Genomic DNA, 20330 nt, shown 5'->3' with positions numbered 1-20330 from the left:
GAAAAAGGGGAATGTTCTTGTTCAAAGTTGCAGAACTCTGAGCCCTCAGAGGAACTCAGTGTGACAGGTTAAAAAACTAAACTCCCGGCTATCTTCCCTGTCATGCAGGATATTTGAGTCTCGTCTGTACTTGCTAACATGCTTATGTCTGTTCATTGTGGAAATGATCCTGAGGTTTGCAATAGCAAGCGTCTTGATGCTTCCATTTTACTAAGTGAACGTTTTGGAAAATCTGCAGGCCATACTTGCTCATTTTCACAGATGCCTTGTGGACTTTGGAAAAGTTTGCAATTTGTTCAGCTCAAAAATAAACTATTTCAGCAAAACAATTTTAACTAATGTTTTGGAAACATTTGTCGGCAAAACAAATATTTGTATCTGAAATAGCTAGGCTATTAAGATGTGAGAAAACAAAACAGATGTTTGTTTTGGGTTGTTGGGTTTGTTTGTCTTGATGGCATTTGTTTTCTTTCTTTCTTTCTTTCTTTTTTCCCAGAGGATATATAGTGGTATAATAAGATTATAAAATTCATGGAAATAAAGTTCACTCTTTGTTTTATACTGTGAGAAACGTTATGAAAATGAGTTTTGTTACCTGTGAATTTTGGACTGTATTTCCAAGAAAAGAAAAATTCAGTCTTCTAAGCACTTAGCCCTTTTGTGCCTTGTTACTGGTTTCCCTAATTTTTTCAATTACTTAGCCATATGTCAGGATGCCTTATAGAGTCAGTTTTAGTACACTGGATTTAAATATGTAATTCTTTCTTATATTTATACATAACAAGATTTTTATATTAATCAAAATAATGCATATATTATTGAGCTAATTAAATTAGTTTATTAACCCTCCCAAACATTTATTATCTTCTTTTGTAACTAATTGATTCATTATTTGAAAAACTGTTACATATTAAGTGTCATATGGGACCAACACATATCAGTGTAATAATTTCTCGTATTTAAGTTGGAGGACATCGGCATTTACTGGTTCAGTTTTTTAATTGGAGATGGTTGTAAAGAGGACAAAGTTATGAGTGTTTGCCATCTCTTCACCTAATTTAATTGCGATTTCATCGTTTGGTAAGTGGCTTTTGGATTAAGTTTTAAATAAAGGTAGAACTGATGGATTAATGGGGCTACCAATGTTATTTCTATGTTGATAGTAAGTATTGTTTGATAAATTTTTTTACTGAATAATAACACATGAACATGGGACAAAATTATAAAGGCATAGATGTGTTTACAGACAAGAATAAACCTCCCTCCATGTTCTATACTCGGCACCTTGGTTTCATATTCTTTGCTTATATAAACATATACTTAACAACTGTCCCCCGCCTCTCTTTTTTTCCACATTCAAGTATGTTTAGCTTTTTGGTCCTTCACAAATAATAGAGTACTATACATGCTGTTCTGCACCTTACTTTTTCACTAGACAATATACAGAGAAAATTTCAGTAAGTATTTTTGTTGTGGGTTATATATACAGATTTAACAGTGGCTAATATTTTTTGAACATTTACTAGTGCCAGGTATTGTTCTAAGCACTGTTCATTCATTAACTTAGATAATTCCCACCCAGCTCCATGAGATAGAGTTGTATTGTCATTGTCCTCATTTTACAGATGGGAAAACTAAGGAAAGGTCAGTGACAACACTGAAATTAAACCTCTGGAAGCTTGACTTCAAACTTGAGTTTTTAATCAGTAAAGCATGCTGCTGCTTGAAACCACTGTGTCTGAAGTTTCAAAGGAGCAGAAAAATGAAAATGTAAACAGAGAGTCCTAAAGGTAGTAGCTGCGTAGTAAACATCTTCTTTAATCAGCACTCAGCAAAAGCATATATTATGAGGCATTCAGTTAACTATGTGTTAAATGTTTGAGCTCTACTTGCTGATAAAATAATGTAGGTCTGAAATTACAGGGAAGAGGTATGTAGTATATTTTGGGTTATTATGTCATAAGTATTCACTGAATTATAAAAGCAGTTTGTGGATATCTTGGATAATCCAACAGCTGATTGCTCCCATTCTCCCTCATTTTCCACTTCCTGAATCAGTTCACTCCGTGCTTCCCCTGTATCCTACTTAAATAGTCACCTGTCATGGACCTGCTTAGGGAACAACTTGCCACATCTCTACCATTTCCCTCCCCTTCCTTCCAGGGACCTCCTTGCATCTTGTCCTCCTTTTTTTCTTTATCTTTTAAAAAAAATTTTAAATAACTCAAATGGCAGCTCATGGTTGATGAACACTAGGTGTAGGAATGGTGACGATTCTATCAAGGAAAAGGGAAGCTATTCGTTTTAAAGTGAAGGTGGGGATCTGAATCCAATACCATCACCTTCTAACACTTTTAAAACTTATCTGACTCCTTCAGAAACTTCAGGGACCTCTTGATTAATTTAAATTTCATTTCTTCATTATCATTATTTAAGATAAGTTTTAACTCTTTCAGTTTTATGTGACTGCTGATATTTAAGGGTATAATTCTCTGCTATTTTGCATTATATTTGTGCAGTATTTCACCTGGATTATTGATTGATTAGGTAAGCATGAATTGGTTTGGAAATCATGTCTGACATCGTTTCTGTGAGAAAATAGCTTCTGAATTTCAAACAATTGATTTAAACATATTTAGAACGTAGCATATTTGTAAATAGACTACTCTCTTATATCTACAAATCCACTTGCGTAACCTTAGCAGGAAGCAGCTGGGCAATAGGGAAGCTTTTAATTTTCGTTTAGCATCGACTGTATAGATTCTTTTGCAGAAGACCTTCACCTTACTGAATATAAATAAGGAATCCAGAAAGATTAAATTTTTCCTAAGCAGCACAGCCTGCCATTGGTGACATCTCTGAATGGGACACTAGAGTGTCAGCCTTGGGAGACAGAAGGGTGTAGTGTGGCCTTTCCCATACTTCCCTGGGTAGCACAACTGTCTCCCAAAGATGGAGATGAATATCCTTTTATCCTGTAATGAGTTCCCAGGTGGGAGCAGTTAGGGATACAAGTTATCATATTTAAAGTTATTGGAGTTTCTCTACTTTAAGTCTTTTCTGATTTTTGATATGACAGTACTCATTGAGAATTGAGTGTAATGTCCAATGTTTCCCAGTCATACCTGGCTGGGGTTGGGTACCACTTTCCACCTGTGCTTCCCCCAACACCCCATCTGAGAATGTCTATGAATGTCTCTTGACCAGCACCCTCCCTTTGAATACAATTAGGAAAAACTGGAGTGGTGGCTAGGGATTTGGAGTTGGGCTAACCTGGGTTTGAATTCTGGCTCTGTCACTCACTTGGGAAGGCCACTTAGCTCCTTGGTGTATTATTTCTCTGTGGAATGAGCATAATACCACTCTTGTGTATAGGATGACTATGAGAATGAAATGATGTAAGTGGCTAGCAAAGTGACTGATACATATTAGGCCCTCAAATGTCCATTTCTTCCATTCGGGCATTCAAGAGATATTTATCAATGCTTGCTGCATGCCAGGCACTGTGCTTGGTGCTGGGAATATGGGGGTGACAAGAAAGGCAAGGCCCCTGGCCTCAGGAAGCTGATGTGTTCTTCCCTCTTGAAGTTCATTACTGTTGTACATTGTGGATTGTGGTTGTTTCAGACACTAAAGCCCCAAAAGTGTGGCTCACCAGTTTCTTTCATGTAGAATGACTGTGGGGAGCTTAAACCAGTGGTTGAAATGTGTAAGAAGAATAATTAGAGGTTTCTACCAGGTTATCCAGAGATTACTGGAAAGTGGATAATGGTCATATTTTAGGAGTGATGAAGCTGTCTTAATTGAGTTACTAGACCTTGACTAATGAATTAATTTACCTAGAGACCTCGATTAGTGCCTGCGTGAACAGGGAATAATGGCTATGGAATACAGGTAGAGAAGTCAAAGCAATTCTCTAAGATTAATTCAGTTAGTGTTTATTGGTCTCGGACTACTGGTTATCCCTATAAGGCTAGTCAACAAGTTTACTTGCCTTTAGTTTATTTTACAAAAGTTTTTTGTGGGAGATTTCTATGACTGAAAACAAAATTATTACAATTCCTTTACATTAAATCTTTTATTCTGCTAAGGTAATAGTCACTGAGAATCTAAACTAATATAATGTAATTTATTCAAGGTTTTGCTGAGGTCCTTTTTTTTCTTTTATGCCAAAATCTAAAAAAAAAATTTAGGCCAAGCGGGGTGTCTCACGCCTGTAATCCCAGCACTTTGGGAGGCCGAAGAGGGTGGATCACGAAGTCAGGAGTCCAAGACCAGCCTGGCCAAGATGATGAAACCCTGTCTCTACTAAAAATAGAAAAATTAGCCAGGCGTGGTGGCAGGCACCTGTAATCCCAGCTACTCGGGAGTCTGAGGCGGGGAATTGCCTGAACCCAGGAGGCAGAGGTTGCAGTGAACTGAGATCGTGCCACTGCACTCCAGCCTGCATGAGAGAGTAAGTCTCTGTCTCAAAAAAAAAAAAAAAAAAAAAAACTACCAATATGAAATTATCATGGTCACACTATCACACGTAACTTTGAAGGTTTGATGACCCATAACTTCATAGATCTGTGTGGATCCCAGGTGATTTTTGAGGAATATCATTGGCCTTCTTTCAGGACTGTGGCCTTCTACGTGGGAATCTTCCCTGATTGGGCCTGTAATTTTCATAGGAAAATGTCTATTTCTATTCTCAGCACAGCTAACTTAGTAAAGCCTATGAGTTTCCCCCCACTCAACCAAGCAATAACACCTTCGCATACCCTCTTACCTCACTGCCACTTAAAACTCAAAGGAGAAACTTGTTATTGTCAGCTGGCATAACAATATGTCATGGCTCCATGCCTCCAGATATTTTCAGTTTTACCCTTAAACAAGATGCCTGATTCCAGGGTTCTGCACTCTGCAGTAGTGAACTCCAGAGTTACAGAGTCAGCAGTAATCAGCCTTAGAAGAAAGAATCTTGTGACACTTGCTGTTTTATTTACCACGAGGGTGTGCTCCTGGCATTCCGTAGCATTCCTCAGTGAGCAGTTCTGTGAGGTGTTTCCATCCCATCTCTATAATGGGAACACCTACATTTTTTATTTTAAGTTCCGGGTTACATGTGCAGGATGTGCAGGTTTATACCTGGGTGAATGGGGCACACCTCCACTATTGTGGAGAAGTTGTTTGTCACATCTCATGCACACCATGAGCCATAGAACTGTTCCTGCCTTTGCCCTGCATGGACTGCAAGAAGACCCGTGTGGTCCATTTCCTCACTGGCTCCATTTTCCCCTTCTGATCCACATTCTTCTTCTAAGGTACTCATTCATTTTTTAAAAAGTTGACTGTATAGTTATTATGTATATATTTGGTGGGTTATCTTAAACCCTTCTTTTAGAAAAGTGGGATATCAATTATTCAGAAACTAAAATTAAGAATTAAAAGGTTGTATTCAACAAGAATAAGAACCAGAGAACAGACATGCTCAGGAAGAAATTACCTTGCAAAAACAATAAGAACCAGAGAACAGACATGCTCAGGAAGCACTTACTTTGTTAACAACAACTGTTTTGGAAACTTTTTGGTTAATATTTGCACAAAAACCTGATATGCACAAAAAAAGCCTTTTGGGTTAATATGCACTTCATGTTTTCATATAACTGTAGTCTCCCAAGAGCACATGCCTCTTTATCATTTCTTCTCTTTGCTCAAAGTTCCAAACCTACTTGTATAATGAATAGGCAGGCCTGTTATTCGTTTCAGTTCAGCTATTTCATGTATTTTTTGAAAAGCATGCTGCCCATGGTAAAATCTCTCCCAATGTAAGGAGTACACTTTCTCTGTCATGAATATTGTTTTCAGCTTCTGCAATTTATTTTATTTCCCATGCCTACCACTTCTTAAATGTTCTCCCTTCAAACATTCTAAGAATTACAGGATTTGCTTGGAGTCTCTCCTTTCTAGTTTCTCATTTAGTGTTTTTCTTAAAGTATATGTTTCCCTACACTTGTTCATCTAATTACTTGCCTTGATTCAGCTTTTATATTGATAAAGGTTACTAAGAAAGCACACTTCTCTTGAGATATATTTCTTAATTGTGCTATTAAATTGCATCCCCTGGTTCCCTAATTGAAGGCAAAGTAGAAAACGCAGTTTCTCCTACTGACATATGGAAATGAGATTTTAATGATGTTCGTCAACGTTTCATTACCAGCCATTGAGCATCTCTTACTTTCAAAGTACCATTGGGTTCTATGGAGATATAGAAGACAAGAGGGTCATTCACTGTCCTCAGGAGCATTTTGCCACTAAAGAAAACTATGTGTACAGCCAAACCTAATAAAATTTCCATTTTTAAAATGCCATGCTAGAAGAAACAAAGTCCTCAGGAAGAGTGCAACAACAGATTCCTTACATAAGTGTTTGAAGAAGAAATTAACAAAGAAGGTGAAATTCTCAGCATTGGAGGATGTGAAAGTGCGAGGGACAGAGGATAGGGAAGGGATATTTATTTGAGGCTAGAGAAATAGACCACTTTAAATGGGCTCAATGACAGGATATCCTTTCCATCAGAATTCGGTTAAGTTATATTTAAATTTTTTAAAGGATGAAAGCATTTTTGAACTGGAATATCACTTTATCATCATCTTTACAAATAAGGTAACAGCCCAGAGGGGTAATTTTGAACTATTGACTTAGAGCAACAACACAAATACACTTGTATAAAACACTTTAGCATGCATTATTTGATGCAATCTTGACAATGGTGCTGTTCCCATTTTACTGTTGAGGAAACTGAAGTCCAGCAAAAGTCCAGATAACTGAATAAATTATAAGCTATCAAGGCTGCTCTGGAATGTATGCAACCCTAATGTGTTAACTTGTAGGTTATTCTGTCCACTATGGTGAAATTTGAATGAATCCATTTTCTGTGTTATGCCCTGTAAGTTAGAGAGGATATGCAGATGTACCAGAATGTGCAAGATTCAGCTTCTCTGCAGGTGGGTTATTTTCCCAAAGAGTGAAAGGAAAGAAGGTCCCCTTACTGGAGTCAGTGAGGGTTCCATCACCCAAGCAGCCAAGCTCTGGTTGTGGGCAGCCCCTCTCCTTTAGGCCCAAACCTCCAGAAGAAGGTGGCAGCCAAGGGTCCCCAGGCAGGTACCCATCAGAGGCTGCACAGCCTGTCTCTGGCCTCCTCATTGACAAGTGAGACTTACGGCTTGGAGAAACAATGCTGTTTCTGAGGCCAGTCAAGTCTGTAGGGCGTCTGAGGTGGGAGCAGGCAGGTGGAGTTGGAGGCTTTAGAGAAGACAGGCCTGGGTTCAGATCCTGATATTGGTACAGCCTAGCTGGCAGACCTTTATTTTGATTAACTTCAATCTTTTTATCTGTTAACTGGGGACAGTAATACATCCCTAAACAGATCTGGGTAGAAATAATCCTAAACCTAGAAGAAGCCCTGTTCTCTCCACTCTTCCATCTCTCAACCCTGACCCCAGCCTCAAGTTTCTTTTGCTGTGATATGTCTTCCTGGCTTTGCACTGTTTCAATCAGTTGAGACCAGAGGATGGGATAGTGAACCAAGTGTGTTTGAGTTCTCCTGTCAGAGAAATGCTGTCCCCTAATGAACATGAAGACATTGATAAGTATTTCCCTGTGACACATCCCTCAAGAGAGAGGCTAAACAGACCCTTGGAGATTATCAATGATCATGTGCATTTTGCTGTGTGAACCAGAGATGCTCCACATGCCAGGTTGTGGAAAAAAAAAAAAAGTTTAACGAGCCTCTGATATGTTCCAGGCACTGTTCTAGACATAGGGGATTCTGCAGTGAGCAAAAATCAAGCCTCTGCCGTCAGGGAACTTACATTCTATTGGAGGCACAGATGATAAGTACATATAAAATGCATCTGGCAGAGTGGCTGGAAGGATGAACAGCTGCCTAAGGAGAATAGCGTTAGGGCAGGTAAACTGTTTCGGAAGAGTTGTCCATCGGGTGACACTTGAGCAGAGGCCTTCAGGAAGGGAGGAGAGAGCCACCTTAATATCTGGGGAAAGAATTCTGGGGAGAGGAAACAGTAGTTGCCAAGGCCTGGAGGTGGGGCTGTGCTTTTTGGATTCAGCAAGAGCAAAGAAGTCCCATAAGGCATTGGAGCCTCTGGGAAAGGAAAGTGGGAGGGTAAAGGCAGGGAGGAAGAGAAGCTGTAGTAGAAGGCCTTGTGGGCATGAGAAGGATTTGGGATTTTATTTTGAATAACATGAGCAGTGTTTAAGCAGAAGCATGGCATGATTTCTTACACCTGTAAATAATTTCTCTAGTCATGGACAGAGAATAAGTTGCAACAAGGCAAAAAAAAAAAAAAAACAAGGTGGTGTTGAAGAGATCAGAGCTTCTGCTTAGCACATGTGAAGTTTGAGCTGTCTGTTAGAAATCTAACAGGAGGTGGTGACTCAGTCATTGGATAAGTAAGTCTAATGTTTACAAGACAGGTTAGGGCCTAAACTTGTGAGTCTTCAACATCTGGAAGCCACTGAAAGCTGTGTGTGTGGATGAGTTAACCAGGACTGTAGGAGCAAACACAGAAGAGGAGACAAGCACTGAGCCCAGGGCCTTCCCACGTTAGCCAGCTGGGAAAAGAGGAAGAGCCAGAGAAGGAGATTGGGAAAGAGCACCCAGGGAGTCAGGAGGAGAACTGAGAAAAGGGCCTTTCAGAGGCCAAGGAACACAAGTGTTGCAGAAGGAAGCCATGATCAACTGTGTGTGGCGCTGGCAAAAGGCGGAGAAATATGGAAATTGAGACTTGACTATTTGATTTGACAGAGTGGATGTTGTTGGTGATCTTGACAAAGAGGAACATTAGAGAAAATAGCATGATGGAAGTGGGTTCAAGAGAAAATGGGATAAAAGGAAGTTTAAGCAGCAGGGATTCTCAATTCTTTCAGTGACTTTTGCTGTACACTGTAAGGCAGTAGAGAAAGAGGGCAGAATCTAGAGGAAGTGGAAGATGCTTTTTAGGCAAGAAATCTATCTAGCTTGTGTGCACCTGCAGGTCATCTAGAGTAAAGGGAACGTGGACTGGAATCAGTGACAGGGCACTGGAGTCTCATGCCAAAAGGAGGGGTTGGCCTTAGGAGTGCAGAAGGTCCACCCATCATAACCTGAGGGGAGGCAGACTGCATACAGAGTACTTACGGGTGGGGAGAGCCTGGCAAGGAGAGTAGAGAGAGTGGTTCCTTCTGTTTTCTCAGTGAATGGGAAGCCAGGTTCCTTGGCAATGAGAGAGTAGAAAGCTGTCCCTTGGTATTGCTCATGACACCCCTGGTGCATAATAAATATAGGCAGCGCCAATATTCTACAAGGTCATGGACCATCATCCTGCTCAGTCACATCCCTGGTGCTGAGTGTGTTGCCTGGCACATAGGTGCTCTGTGATACCACAGAATCCAAAAGTAGTGCTTGTTGCCCTGGCCTAGGAATTTGTGATAGCCACAGGCAGGACCAGCTGCAAAACTGGTGGGCCCCTTGTTCAAAAATAAAGAATTTTAAGACAGCACAGCAGACTACTGAACCAAGTTGCAGGCCCAGCTGAACACAAAGCCCTGTGGGAGTGCACAGGCTGCACCTCCAGGAGACTGGCCCTAGCCACAGGTACTTGTTAAATCTGATCAAACCCCAGTGATGCAAGAATCACAGTCAGCAGACCCGTGGCAGTGGCCAGAGATAAAACTCCCTGCAGAGACAAATTTTGCTTATTTTCCTCTTTCAGATGTTTAAGACTGAGTGCAAGCAGCAGTCACCATCTTCACAGATTAGCAGAGATGGAGGTTTAATGATTCTTGTAAGAAAATGAACAGAAAGATGCATCAGAGATATTCAGAAACTTTTAGGAGCAAAATGTTCACTAGTGGTATCTCTTAAATGACGATACCACAAATCCCTGCTGTAGGAGGAGAAAGGTGCCGAATGGTGGGACAGAGGGAGCTTCAGCAGTGTTGGAGGTTGCAGCCCATTGTGAGTATGAGGTGGCATTAATGACCATTCAAGAAAAAAACATTCTCAGACAAAACAAAATAACATAAGAAAACCTCCCCATTCATTCCCAAAACTGCAAAGGTAAAGAGTAGTATGGGTAGATTAGATCCAGTGCAAAGGTAAGATGACCTGTTTTATAGCTACTTCAAATTGAGTTGTTTCAAAGATTGTTTTTAAAAAACTATTATATAGAGACCTTTTTAATGGAGTTTTTCACTGGGCATGGTGGCTCATGCCTATAATCCCAGCACTTCTGGTGGCCCAGGCAGGCAGATCGCTTGATCCCAGGAGTTTGAGACTAGCCTGGCAACGTGGCGGAACCACATCTGTATAAAAATTACAAAAAATTTAAAAATTAGCTGGGGATGGTGGTGCTCACTTATAGACTCAGCTACATGGGAGGCTAAGGTGGAAGGATCACCTAAGCCCAGGAGGTCAAGGCTGCAGTGAACTGTGATTATGCCACAGTATTGCAGCCTAGGTGACAGAGTGAGACCCTGTCTCCAAAGAAAAAAAAAGCAAAACAAAGTTTTCCAACATTGTTCTCCTTTTATCGGAAAAAAAGCAAGTCAGCTGAATGAATGTGTGCACATGTATACATTCCATGTTGTGAGCATTTGGTTTCAGTGGCATTCAGCCACATGAGAATTCAAGCGTGAAGTTTAGGCCACCACTGGAATTGCTTTAGACATTTTAAGAATAAAAGGAATTTTGGTATTCACTCTGCGGATATCTGACTGTAGAGGTTGAACCTTGGCCAGCCCTTCCCTCTGACTGCCTTACAGGAGAGGAGAATTCATTTTATGCAATGTTGTCTAGAGGATTAGAGGTGGGTTTGTTAGAAATATCTGTCATATTCAGCTATGGGAGGTCACTTTAAGTCAGAGAAAATCTAAGTGTTCATTGTAAAAGGCCTACATATCCTTTTTTCATTCACCTTTTCACCTGAATTTCCTGGTTTTCTTACATAGTAAACAGCATGGCTTGACAATGGTAGGGTCTTCGAATTTTTCTTTTCTCAGAAACTCAGCTTAGCTCATTTTCTGGTGTCACTGGTATGCTTGTCTGCTCAAGTAAGTTGAGTTTGTGTCCCCTAGATTCAGCTGACTACAAAGAGCCTGGTAAACAAGTACGCCCAGGGACCCAGACCTGGGACAGCAGACTTGGTGCCTGCACCTGGCCATTATGTTAGAGATGAAATCAAAAAATCACTCACAAGATGTATAGTTCTGGTGCGTGTATCAAACCAAGCGGAATTCATAGCCTGTCAAGCATTTCTGTGTGCTGCTATGACAGCAGAGTGGAATGGTTGCAACAGAGACCGTGTGGCCCAGAAAGCCTAAAATATTTACTGTATGACTCTTGACAGGAAAAATTTACCGAGCCTTGCTCTAGGGTATAGGAACTCTCCCCTCCACACACACACAAAAAAGGAGAATTAAATGTTTATAGTGTTGGTAAGTTAGTCTCCGTGCCCCATCATATACCTGTGACCTGTACCAACACCGTCCAATGGGTTAGTTTCAGTGCCTTTGACTTTCACAGTGCAGCTGGTGTAGAGAAGTTCTGGGTAATTTTGATTATATTTCTTTGTTTACCTTGTCCATCCCTGGAGTAAGGGTCAATCCCACTCACTTGCCTTAAAGTAATTCAACTCAGCTTCACCAGTGTTTTCCCCCATAGGAAAACTAATTTCAAAATCATAACCAAAAATATGCCCAATGGATGTATATGATTCTTTTGGCCAATGTCATCAAATTTGATGCATCTGCTTCCCTATGGGGAATGCCACGGAAGAACTATAATATCCTTGCCTTCTTGACTTAGATTTCAACCTCTCTACATTCTGTCTTCCTGATCTGGCCTTGGTATACCATCTATTAAGATGACTTTTGCATATACTTATGTTGGTTTTGAGAGTCTCAAAGTTCAGGGGTGCCTTAGTGTCAGTTGTTGTCTGACATCTACTTCGTGCTCATGTGTACAATGTGCTTTAAGGCTTGAGTCTTGAACATGATGGAATCTACATTTAGGGAAGTGATATGCTCTGTTATTTTTATCTGAGTCTCCCATAATGGCAAATAGAATATAATTATTGATTAGCCTGTCTCATGTTCACTAAATTCAGATAATCTTTCTAAGGATTTCATGAAAAGCTCTGCACTTTGTGTTGTAAGCTATATTGTCTTAGCAGACAGATTCAGGGTCTTGCCAGAGATCGTAGCTACCCTGGCCTCAGTCCAATGTCATTGTACATGTGGTGAGAGCTTCCTCTCGGCTAGGAGTTCAATTACCTACTTCTGTTTAGGGAGAGTAGTCTTTCACCTCACTTAGACTTCAATATGAGTGAGGAGGGCCTCCACCCTCCCAAAGCACGGAGAAAGGAGCCTGCAGGAATTGTGTATTCTACTTCCTTTGCAACCACTACTGGCATATGTAGTCCCTGGGGTGTAAAGCTAGATCAGAAATCCCCTACTACCCTTAGAATAAATGTGAACACTTATCTCTAAATCTTCAAGGAGCCAACCAGGCCTTCATGTCGTGCAGCAAGACTCCATAAAAATAAAATACCTCTGTGAAGGAAAGCATAATTTAAGGAAATATCAGGCTGGGAGAAGTATCAGTAGATATGAAAAAAGGGTTAAAACTATTTTGTATAAATCAATAAAGGAATATTTAAAAACTGGCAAAGGATTTGGACTGTTCACAGAGGGAATATAATTTTTAAGCAAATATATAAGCATCTTTAATATATGCAAATTAAAAATGATGCACTGTTCTGTGTATGATAAATAGCAATGACTTTAAAATGATGACAGCCAATGTATATATGGTTATGGTAAAAGAGACACAATTTAAATTGATACAGTCCTTTGAAAACTATTTGGCAATATGTATAAGAAAACAGCGTATTAAGGAAGGCCTGAGAAATAAAACCACATAGGTAATTTGGGCTAGATATAGTAGGCAATAAACCCTGATGGGTTTTGAGGGTTGGAGTTGCCTGAGATCTTTTATATAGATTAATATGAAGGTAACTAATCTACTTAAGAGAGAGAGAGACAAAGAACTAATCATTATGAGGCTTTGGTAAGTGTTGTACATCCACAGGTAATAGAATTTTAAAGCTAAATAATCTAGGCTGTCGTCAATTTGATAAACAGAGTGGGAACTGAGGAAAAAATGGAAGTAACTTCCCCAAGGCTCAAGGAGGAGTTACTAGCTCAGGGGAACTAAATGGACTCTTGCGAGTTCCAGTTCTTTGTTTTTCTTTTTAATATTGAAGAATTTATGGAAATCTGTGGTATTTACAGATGTAAAAATTTAATTATCTTATGTGGATTTTAATATTTTATGACTTAATATATAAACATTAACTTTTAAATGAGCTCTTAATGATAGCTATTTCTCATTTATAAATATTTTTGCTGTCTTGTAGAAATAATTAACCTTTATAGCTTTAATAAATACTAGACTGAAGAAACATTTTTCTAATCATCAATTTTTTAATGTTTGCCTTGCACTCTAGACACTTACCATGCTCTCAGTGTGCAAACATGAATACCACTGTGTTCTGTTTTCCCAGAGTGGGAATGATGGACATGTGCTCAAAATAATTTCATCAAATTATTTATTATCCACCACAAATGCAAATAATTGCAAAAATGTTATAATCCTATAATAGAGATAAGAGTACATAATTACAAAGAAGGGACCAGAAGTTAGAGAATTCACAAAGATTCTTGAGTTTGATCTTCAGAGGCTAATAGGAATTTCTCAGACAGCGGAGAGGGTAAGGAGTTGAGAAAAGGAGACAAGGGCCAGGTGCATTGGCTCATGCCTGTAATCCTAGTGCTTTGGGAGGCTGAGGCAGGAGGACTCTTTGAGGCCAGGAATTCAAGACCAGCTTGGGCAACATAGCAAGACCCCCATCTCTACAAAAGATTTTTTAAAAAAATTAGCCTGGTGTCACGTCATGTGCCTGTAGTCCTAGCTGCTTGAGAGCTTGAGAGATATATATTGCAGGTCCCTTGAACCAAGGAATTTGAGGCTGCAGTGAGCTATGGTTGTACCACTACACTTCATCCTCAGTGACAGAGAAAGGTCCTGTCTCTAAAAACTAAAAAAAAAAAAAAAAAAAAAAAAAAAAAAAAATGTGTGAAGCCATGAAATAGCATGGCACTTTCAGAGAAATGAGATAATTAAGTTTGTCTATCTGAAGTAGACTATGAAGAGAGGGTAGTTAGAGATAAGGTTGTTGAAGGATGACTCGGTGACAACACTTTTTTCAGTTAGCTAACATCGTAGAGTGCTAACGACATGTGCAGCTCCAAGTACCTTTACATGTATGTTAGTTTTATTTTACCCCATTTATTCCCGTTTTACAAATGAAAAAACTGAGTCATGTAAAGGCTAAATAACGAGCAAGCAATACTACTAGTAAGTAGTACAGTCAAGAGTCAAAATGTGGCAGTTGAATACATAGCTCAGTGCCTTAAAATCTAGACTGTCGTTCCTGTTTCACACTATAAGGCTGAAGCAGAAGGGTCTTACCACTCTCTGTGATGGCAGTGCAGAAAATAGGTGGAAGACGAGCCTATCGATCCTGGAAATAGCCTGTTGCAAGAATTAAGGCAAGATATAATGAGAGCCTCAACTTAGAGCAAAAGTTTTTAGGAGTAAAAACCACAGAACTTAGTCTTAATTTGATGGAGACACTAAGGAGTTTCTGGATTGAAAAAGTGGATAGTTACTGGTACCATTAATTCAACTTGTTGATAGGGAGGATTCCTTTTGGTACAAGTTTAATTATGGTGTCCATGGAATACTTGGGTAGAGAGGTCTAGAAATAGTGGGATACTCAGGTCAGGAGATCAAAAGGTAAAGCTTTAGAATTTATCAGCTTGGAGGGCATCAATTAAATTCCTCCTACAAATATTACCAAGCACTAAGAGCCTACAGTGGGATAAGAGGGCCATGGAAGAAACTCCAGTGCACTGCTGCTCAAAATATAGTCCATCAACTGGCTGCCTGTCCACTAACTGTTTATTATTAGTGCAAGATAACAAAGGATTTGCTTCAGAATGTAATCGACCATGTTACTAAGTAATCAATGACGTTACATAGTGTTTTCTTCAGCTGACTATATTTTTAATATTAGCAAGACTTTTAGATGAAGGAAACATTGTGTTGATTCATATCCTGATGCAAAATCTGTATCTTGTCCCAGATCAGCACTTTGAATAACAGGGATGTAGAGAACACCAATATTCACACTTTGGTCAGAGCAGAAGTTCTCCAAAGAGACTGATAAGGGATAGTGTAAAGCAGAAGTAAGGGAAGTCAAGATATTCTGAATTGGACATGATTTAAAGGAGCAAGTGGTCAGCACAGCTGCAGAGGGGTCAAATAATATTGAAGACTAAGACAATAATTATTGGATTTGGCCATTAGAGGGTCATCAGTAACAGTTTAGGAGTTTTACCCCCTGTTGTTTCACTCTTCTGCCTCCTTGAATCTGTATTATTGCCATGTAGACCAAATGCCTCTTGACTCTAATCTAAAGTACTCAGATTCAGTCTTTATTTTACCTGTTTCTTGGGTGATCTGAAGTTATTGATCACTCTCTCCTTCCTGACATACTTTTTCATCTGCCATACATTGACTTTGGTTTTCCTCTTCAAACCTCACCTGTCTTTCTGTGCCCAACCCTTGTACACACACTGCATTTCTTTAACAACACTCATTTCCTTAATTACATATGGTGTCAGTTTCCAATCCTAAACCCAGCCCATATTTCTTTATGGAGCTTCAGAGTAGTCTAGCAGCCTACTGGACATCTCTACTTGGATGCCCACAGCCCCTTCAAATTCAATATGTCCAAAGCGGAACTGAATTCTCACCTATACTCTTCCCTGTAATGCCTTCTTCCTCCTAAGTCCCGTACCTTGTATTACAATCTTCACCCAGTTGTGAAACCACTGACATGGGCATGATTTTTTACTGCATCTTTCTTCCTTATCCACTTAGTTATTGATTTTACCTCCTAATGACACTTCAGATCTCCTTATGCCCGGCACCTGCATCACCATCCCTCACCTGGATCACTGAATTATCCTCCTGGCCGGTCTCCCATTCTCAGTCTCCTCTCCAGCACCCTGCCACGTGGAGTGTGAGCCCCCACTCCGTTGTTGAATTCTTTACCTGCCACTCCAGCCTCATCTCTGTGTTCTTTTTCTGTAGACTCAGGTCAGATTGGATTTTTATTTTCATTTCTTAAATGTGACATGCGCTCTCGCACGCGCTTGCGCTTGTTCACTCGCTTGCTCTCGTTCACTCGCTCTCATTCTCTCTCTCTCGCTCGCTCACTCTCTCTCTCTCGCTCGCTCACTCTCTCTCTCTCTCCCACTTTACCTTCACACATACTTATGCCCCTGTCTGGAACACAGTCATATTCCCTCTTCACTGGTGCATTTGTCCTCTGTCTTCAGGAAGCTTCTGTAAGCCTGCAAATCTGAGTTATGTGGACTTCCTCTGTGTTCTCCTAGCATTCTGCCTTTCCTGTGTTGTGACCTTTCCACATTACTTTGTAATTTCTCATTTTTGTCCACAAGTCAATGCCTTCCTCTGAATTGTAAGCTCCGAGAAGGCAGGAACCATGTCTGTTTGCTACATCATTATATTTCATGCTCCTGGTACAGTGCCTGCATGGTGTGAACGTGACATCCACTCCAAGTTTGTTAAAATCAATGAATGCCCTCCAAAGTATTTTCACATCCAGTATCTCAGTGGGGGTAAACTTGAACAATTTGGAGAGGGTTTTAGTGAAACATGAGCTGTCAGTGGATTAGAAGATTAAATGATTTGAATATTTGAGTTGTTTTGCACTAGGAGGAGGAAGGAGAAGTTAGAGTCTGGAAAGCTGGTTAAGAGAATAGAAGCATTTAATTCCACCTCATAGAAAAGGAAGGGATTTTGAAAAATAACTAGCTTGCATCACTTTTATTTTCATCTTCCTCCAGAAGTGGAGGCCTGCAAGGTACGGGTGTGGGTGTATTTTAATATTTAAAGGTGTCAGGTTGTCTATCTTTTAGGGGTTTTTTTCCCTTTACCTGGAAAAACTTTAGATAACATGATTTAAAACTTTCACTTTCTACTTTGCAGAATGAATTTATTTTCTTTTGGAAAGAGGCTTACAAAAGTAACTCACTTCATTATAGCTAGTCTGTTTCCAAAAAAAGTGATAATAATAAAGACAGAATATATTTTAAAAGATTGAGTTTTTAAAGTGGGGATAAACATTAGGAAATAAAGGAATGAGCCATCAATAGGAGGAAATCTAGGCTAACAAAATCTAGGAAAGATAAACGACTTTTACGACAAAATTATACTGTCGGTAAGTCAAGGAAAAAGTTGTAACATGCTAACTTACATTGCTCGATGTCTTTTAGCTTCTCTTCAAATACTTACTTCCAAAAGCCAGAGAGCTCCCAATTCAAGAGAGACTTTGTAGTAAAGTACTTGAAGTGCAGGTTGAATTAGATGGTGACTGTACTGGTTGTAAAATGAATGCTTGGTATCGAAACATATTAGAGATTGATGTGTGTTTTGTCTCAGATGGTGAATATCTGGTTCTGCATGGAGACGTACATTGCAGAATATTTTTTAAAAAGGAAGGCCAAGACTTTTTCCTCAAAGAACAGCTTTGAATCCACTTGACTACTTAAAATTCTACTCATTTGGAGCTGCTGATTCTCTTTAAAACATGGAAGAGAGATGCTCAGTTTGGAACATCTTAAGGAGAGGATGCCCTAGTTATCTGCCTCTGTAATAAAAGACTATTAATGTAGATTTAGAGAATGATTAACTGACAAGCCAGCATTATGTTGTAATGGTTCTGTGAGATGAGTCAGCTTAAAAATGCATCCCAAATAAACTAACCCATGGGGTGGAGTTGATTTGGACTTTCTTATTGTCATTAATAAGCTTACAGGTCATGATGGTGGTTTCTGGGTGTGAGAATCACATGACCAGTTTAGATGAGGAAGTTTGCCATCTTGTTATAGAAGAAGTCTCTTGCTTGTTTTCTATAAGTAATAGGAATCTATTTAGGTTTTAAGGTTAAATAAGAGGTATAGAGCTGTCTCCTGTGATTTAGAAACAGAAATTTATTCTGTCAAAGCCTTTCCTATCTACTCTGACTCAAGGCTTTGGAGAAGCACTTAAGCGTGGAGGTAATTCTGAGACCATGCAGTTTGACACGTGGATGGCCTTATTGGTATAGTTGAGGCTGATAGTGTGTTAATAAAGGCTACCAAGCCTTCAGTTGTTCTCTTCAAACAGTGGTTTTCTGTTTAGTGAAATAGACCAACCTTAACAACATCGTAGGGAAAATAATCATTCCTCATCTTAGATGGAGAGATTCCAAACTAAATCTGGTACAGAAATCTGGAAAAGAGTTTGTGGGGTGAGCCAGCTTTTTGGACGTCTGGAATTTGGGAGAAGAGGAGATATTCTGATGTATGTATTGGATAGACTAAAAAGTACAAAATTGGTGTGAGTAAATGGCTTTTTGTTCAGTCTGAACACAAGATAAGCATCTTCCCTCGCTCCACAATCACTGCCCGACTCTTCCTTTGAGCCTTTTGGGGGTTGTTCTTTATTTTGTGGTTTCTATGTAATTATTTTAGTGGCTTCTCTGAGTTACCCAGATGAGTAATTTTAATGTGCTGCCTGGTTTTGGATGTTTGGTTCAAAGGGACTAGGACCGAGGAAGAGCCGGTGATGGACAGTGTGTGGAGTACGGGTATTGTCCATGTATCTGCCTCTTTATCTTGTCACCCGCTTGTTCTCACATAAAATGAGGGAGAAAATGGGGAATGTAAAATTTTCAAAGAAAAATCTACCTGATGACTCAGTTTTCCCTGCCCCAGAGAGCTGGTTTTTTCTTTTCACCTCTTTGCATGCACCAGAACCTTTTTGTAGCTGAGAGAGCCACAGCTGAGGCAAATGTGTGAGCCTCTCAGTATGGCCAGGTGCTGTGACTGGAATGAATGAGAGAAGCGGGGAAAGGCATGGGGAGCGTTCTCTAATCACAGAGAACCACATGGAAGATGCAGGCAACCTTGTACAACCTGTTGCCTCTCACCTTCAATTAAATTTTAATTGTTCCTCATCACACTTTCTTTCAAAACAAATCTTGTAATCAGATATCTTATAAATTATTTACCAGCGCAAGTAAAAGACGATGTAGGATTTCAGCAGAATGAAATGTGCTTTACTATTGAAACTCCCCTTGTGAATTAAAACAAGGCTAATCTTGGCACCATGGTGATGGAAATAAAAGATGAAAGTCCTTCCTATATTCCTGCAGAGTACAGCACAATCCACAGCCCATCAACACCCATTAAAGATTCAGATTCTGATCGATTGCGTCGAGGTTCAGATGGGAAATCACGTGGACGGGGCCGAAGAAACAATAATCCTTCACCTCCCCCAGATTCTGATCTTGAGGTACGTCATAGCCAACACCCAAGTGAATAGAAAGGTGTCTTAATAGCTAACTGGTGGTTTTACATACCTGCTACGTAAACAGCAGTGGTTAAGGTATCAGATGCTTTTGTTACTGCTTTCTTTTTTATATTAACAATAGATAAAGTAATATTTTCTCTCCTTTATTAACTATAGGTTAAGCAATAATTTGTTTTTTCTTCCCTATGAACTATATGGCAAAGGGTCTGTTTCTCTCTAAAGAAATATAGTAAATTATGCAATTCTACTTGAACAAAATTCTGTTATGCTGATCTGTATCATTGCCATTTTAATTAAGTGTCATACTAAAAATACTTGGTAAAATCCACTTGTTAAAAGGCACAAAAAAAATAGAATGAGTGAGACCTACTATTTGATAGCACAACAGGGTGACTATAGCCAATAATAACTTAATTGTACATTTTCAAATAACTAAAAGAGCGTACCTGGATTGTTTTTAACACAAAGGACAAATGCTTGAAGGGATAGAGACCCCATTCTCCATGATGTGCTTATTTCGCATTGCATGCCTATATCAAAACATCTCATGTACCCCATAATTATATACACCTAGTATCCACAAAAATTAAAAATACAAAAAATAAATAAAATCCACTTTTTGTTGTTTTGAAGATGGAGTCTTGCTTTGTCACCCAGCGTAGAGTGCAATGGCGTGATCTCGGCTCACTGCAACCTCTGCCTCCCGGTTCAAGCGATTCTTCTGCCCCAGCCTCCCGAGTAGCTGGGACTACAGGCACCAAGCCCGGCTAATTTTTGT

General features: G+C 39.6%; 1 protein-coding gene across 27 annotated transcripts in view; it reads left to right on the top strand.

Moving 5' to 3' along the window:
- The window catches only part of EYA1 (EYA transcriptional coactivator and phosphatase 1), a 350662-nt gene that overhangs the window by 256803 nt on the left and 73529 nt on the right, over nt 1-20330 (top strand). For all 27 annotated transcript variants that reach the window (XM_047421528.1, NM_001370336.1, XM_011517484.4 and 24 more), the window contains one exon: nt 19395-19534. In XM_047421528.1, coding sequence (XP_047277484.1) covers nt 19395-19534 — 140 coding nt within the window. The remainder of the gene's footprint in view (nt 1-19394; nt 19535-20330) is intronic.

This window comes from Homo sapiens, chromosome 8, assembly GCF_000001405.40.
Source record: "Homo sapiens chromosome 8, GRCh38.p14 Primary Assembly".
Classification (NCBI taxonomy): Eukaryota; Metazoa; Chordata; class Mammalia; order Primates; family Hominidae; genus Homo; species Homo sapiens.
The sequence above is the reverse complement of the archived record's forward strand: the minus strand, read 5'-3'. Positions and strand labels throughout refer to the sequence as shown.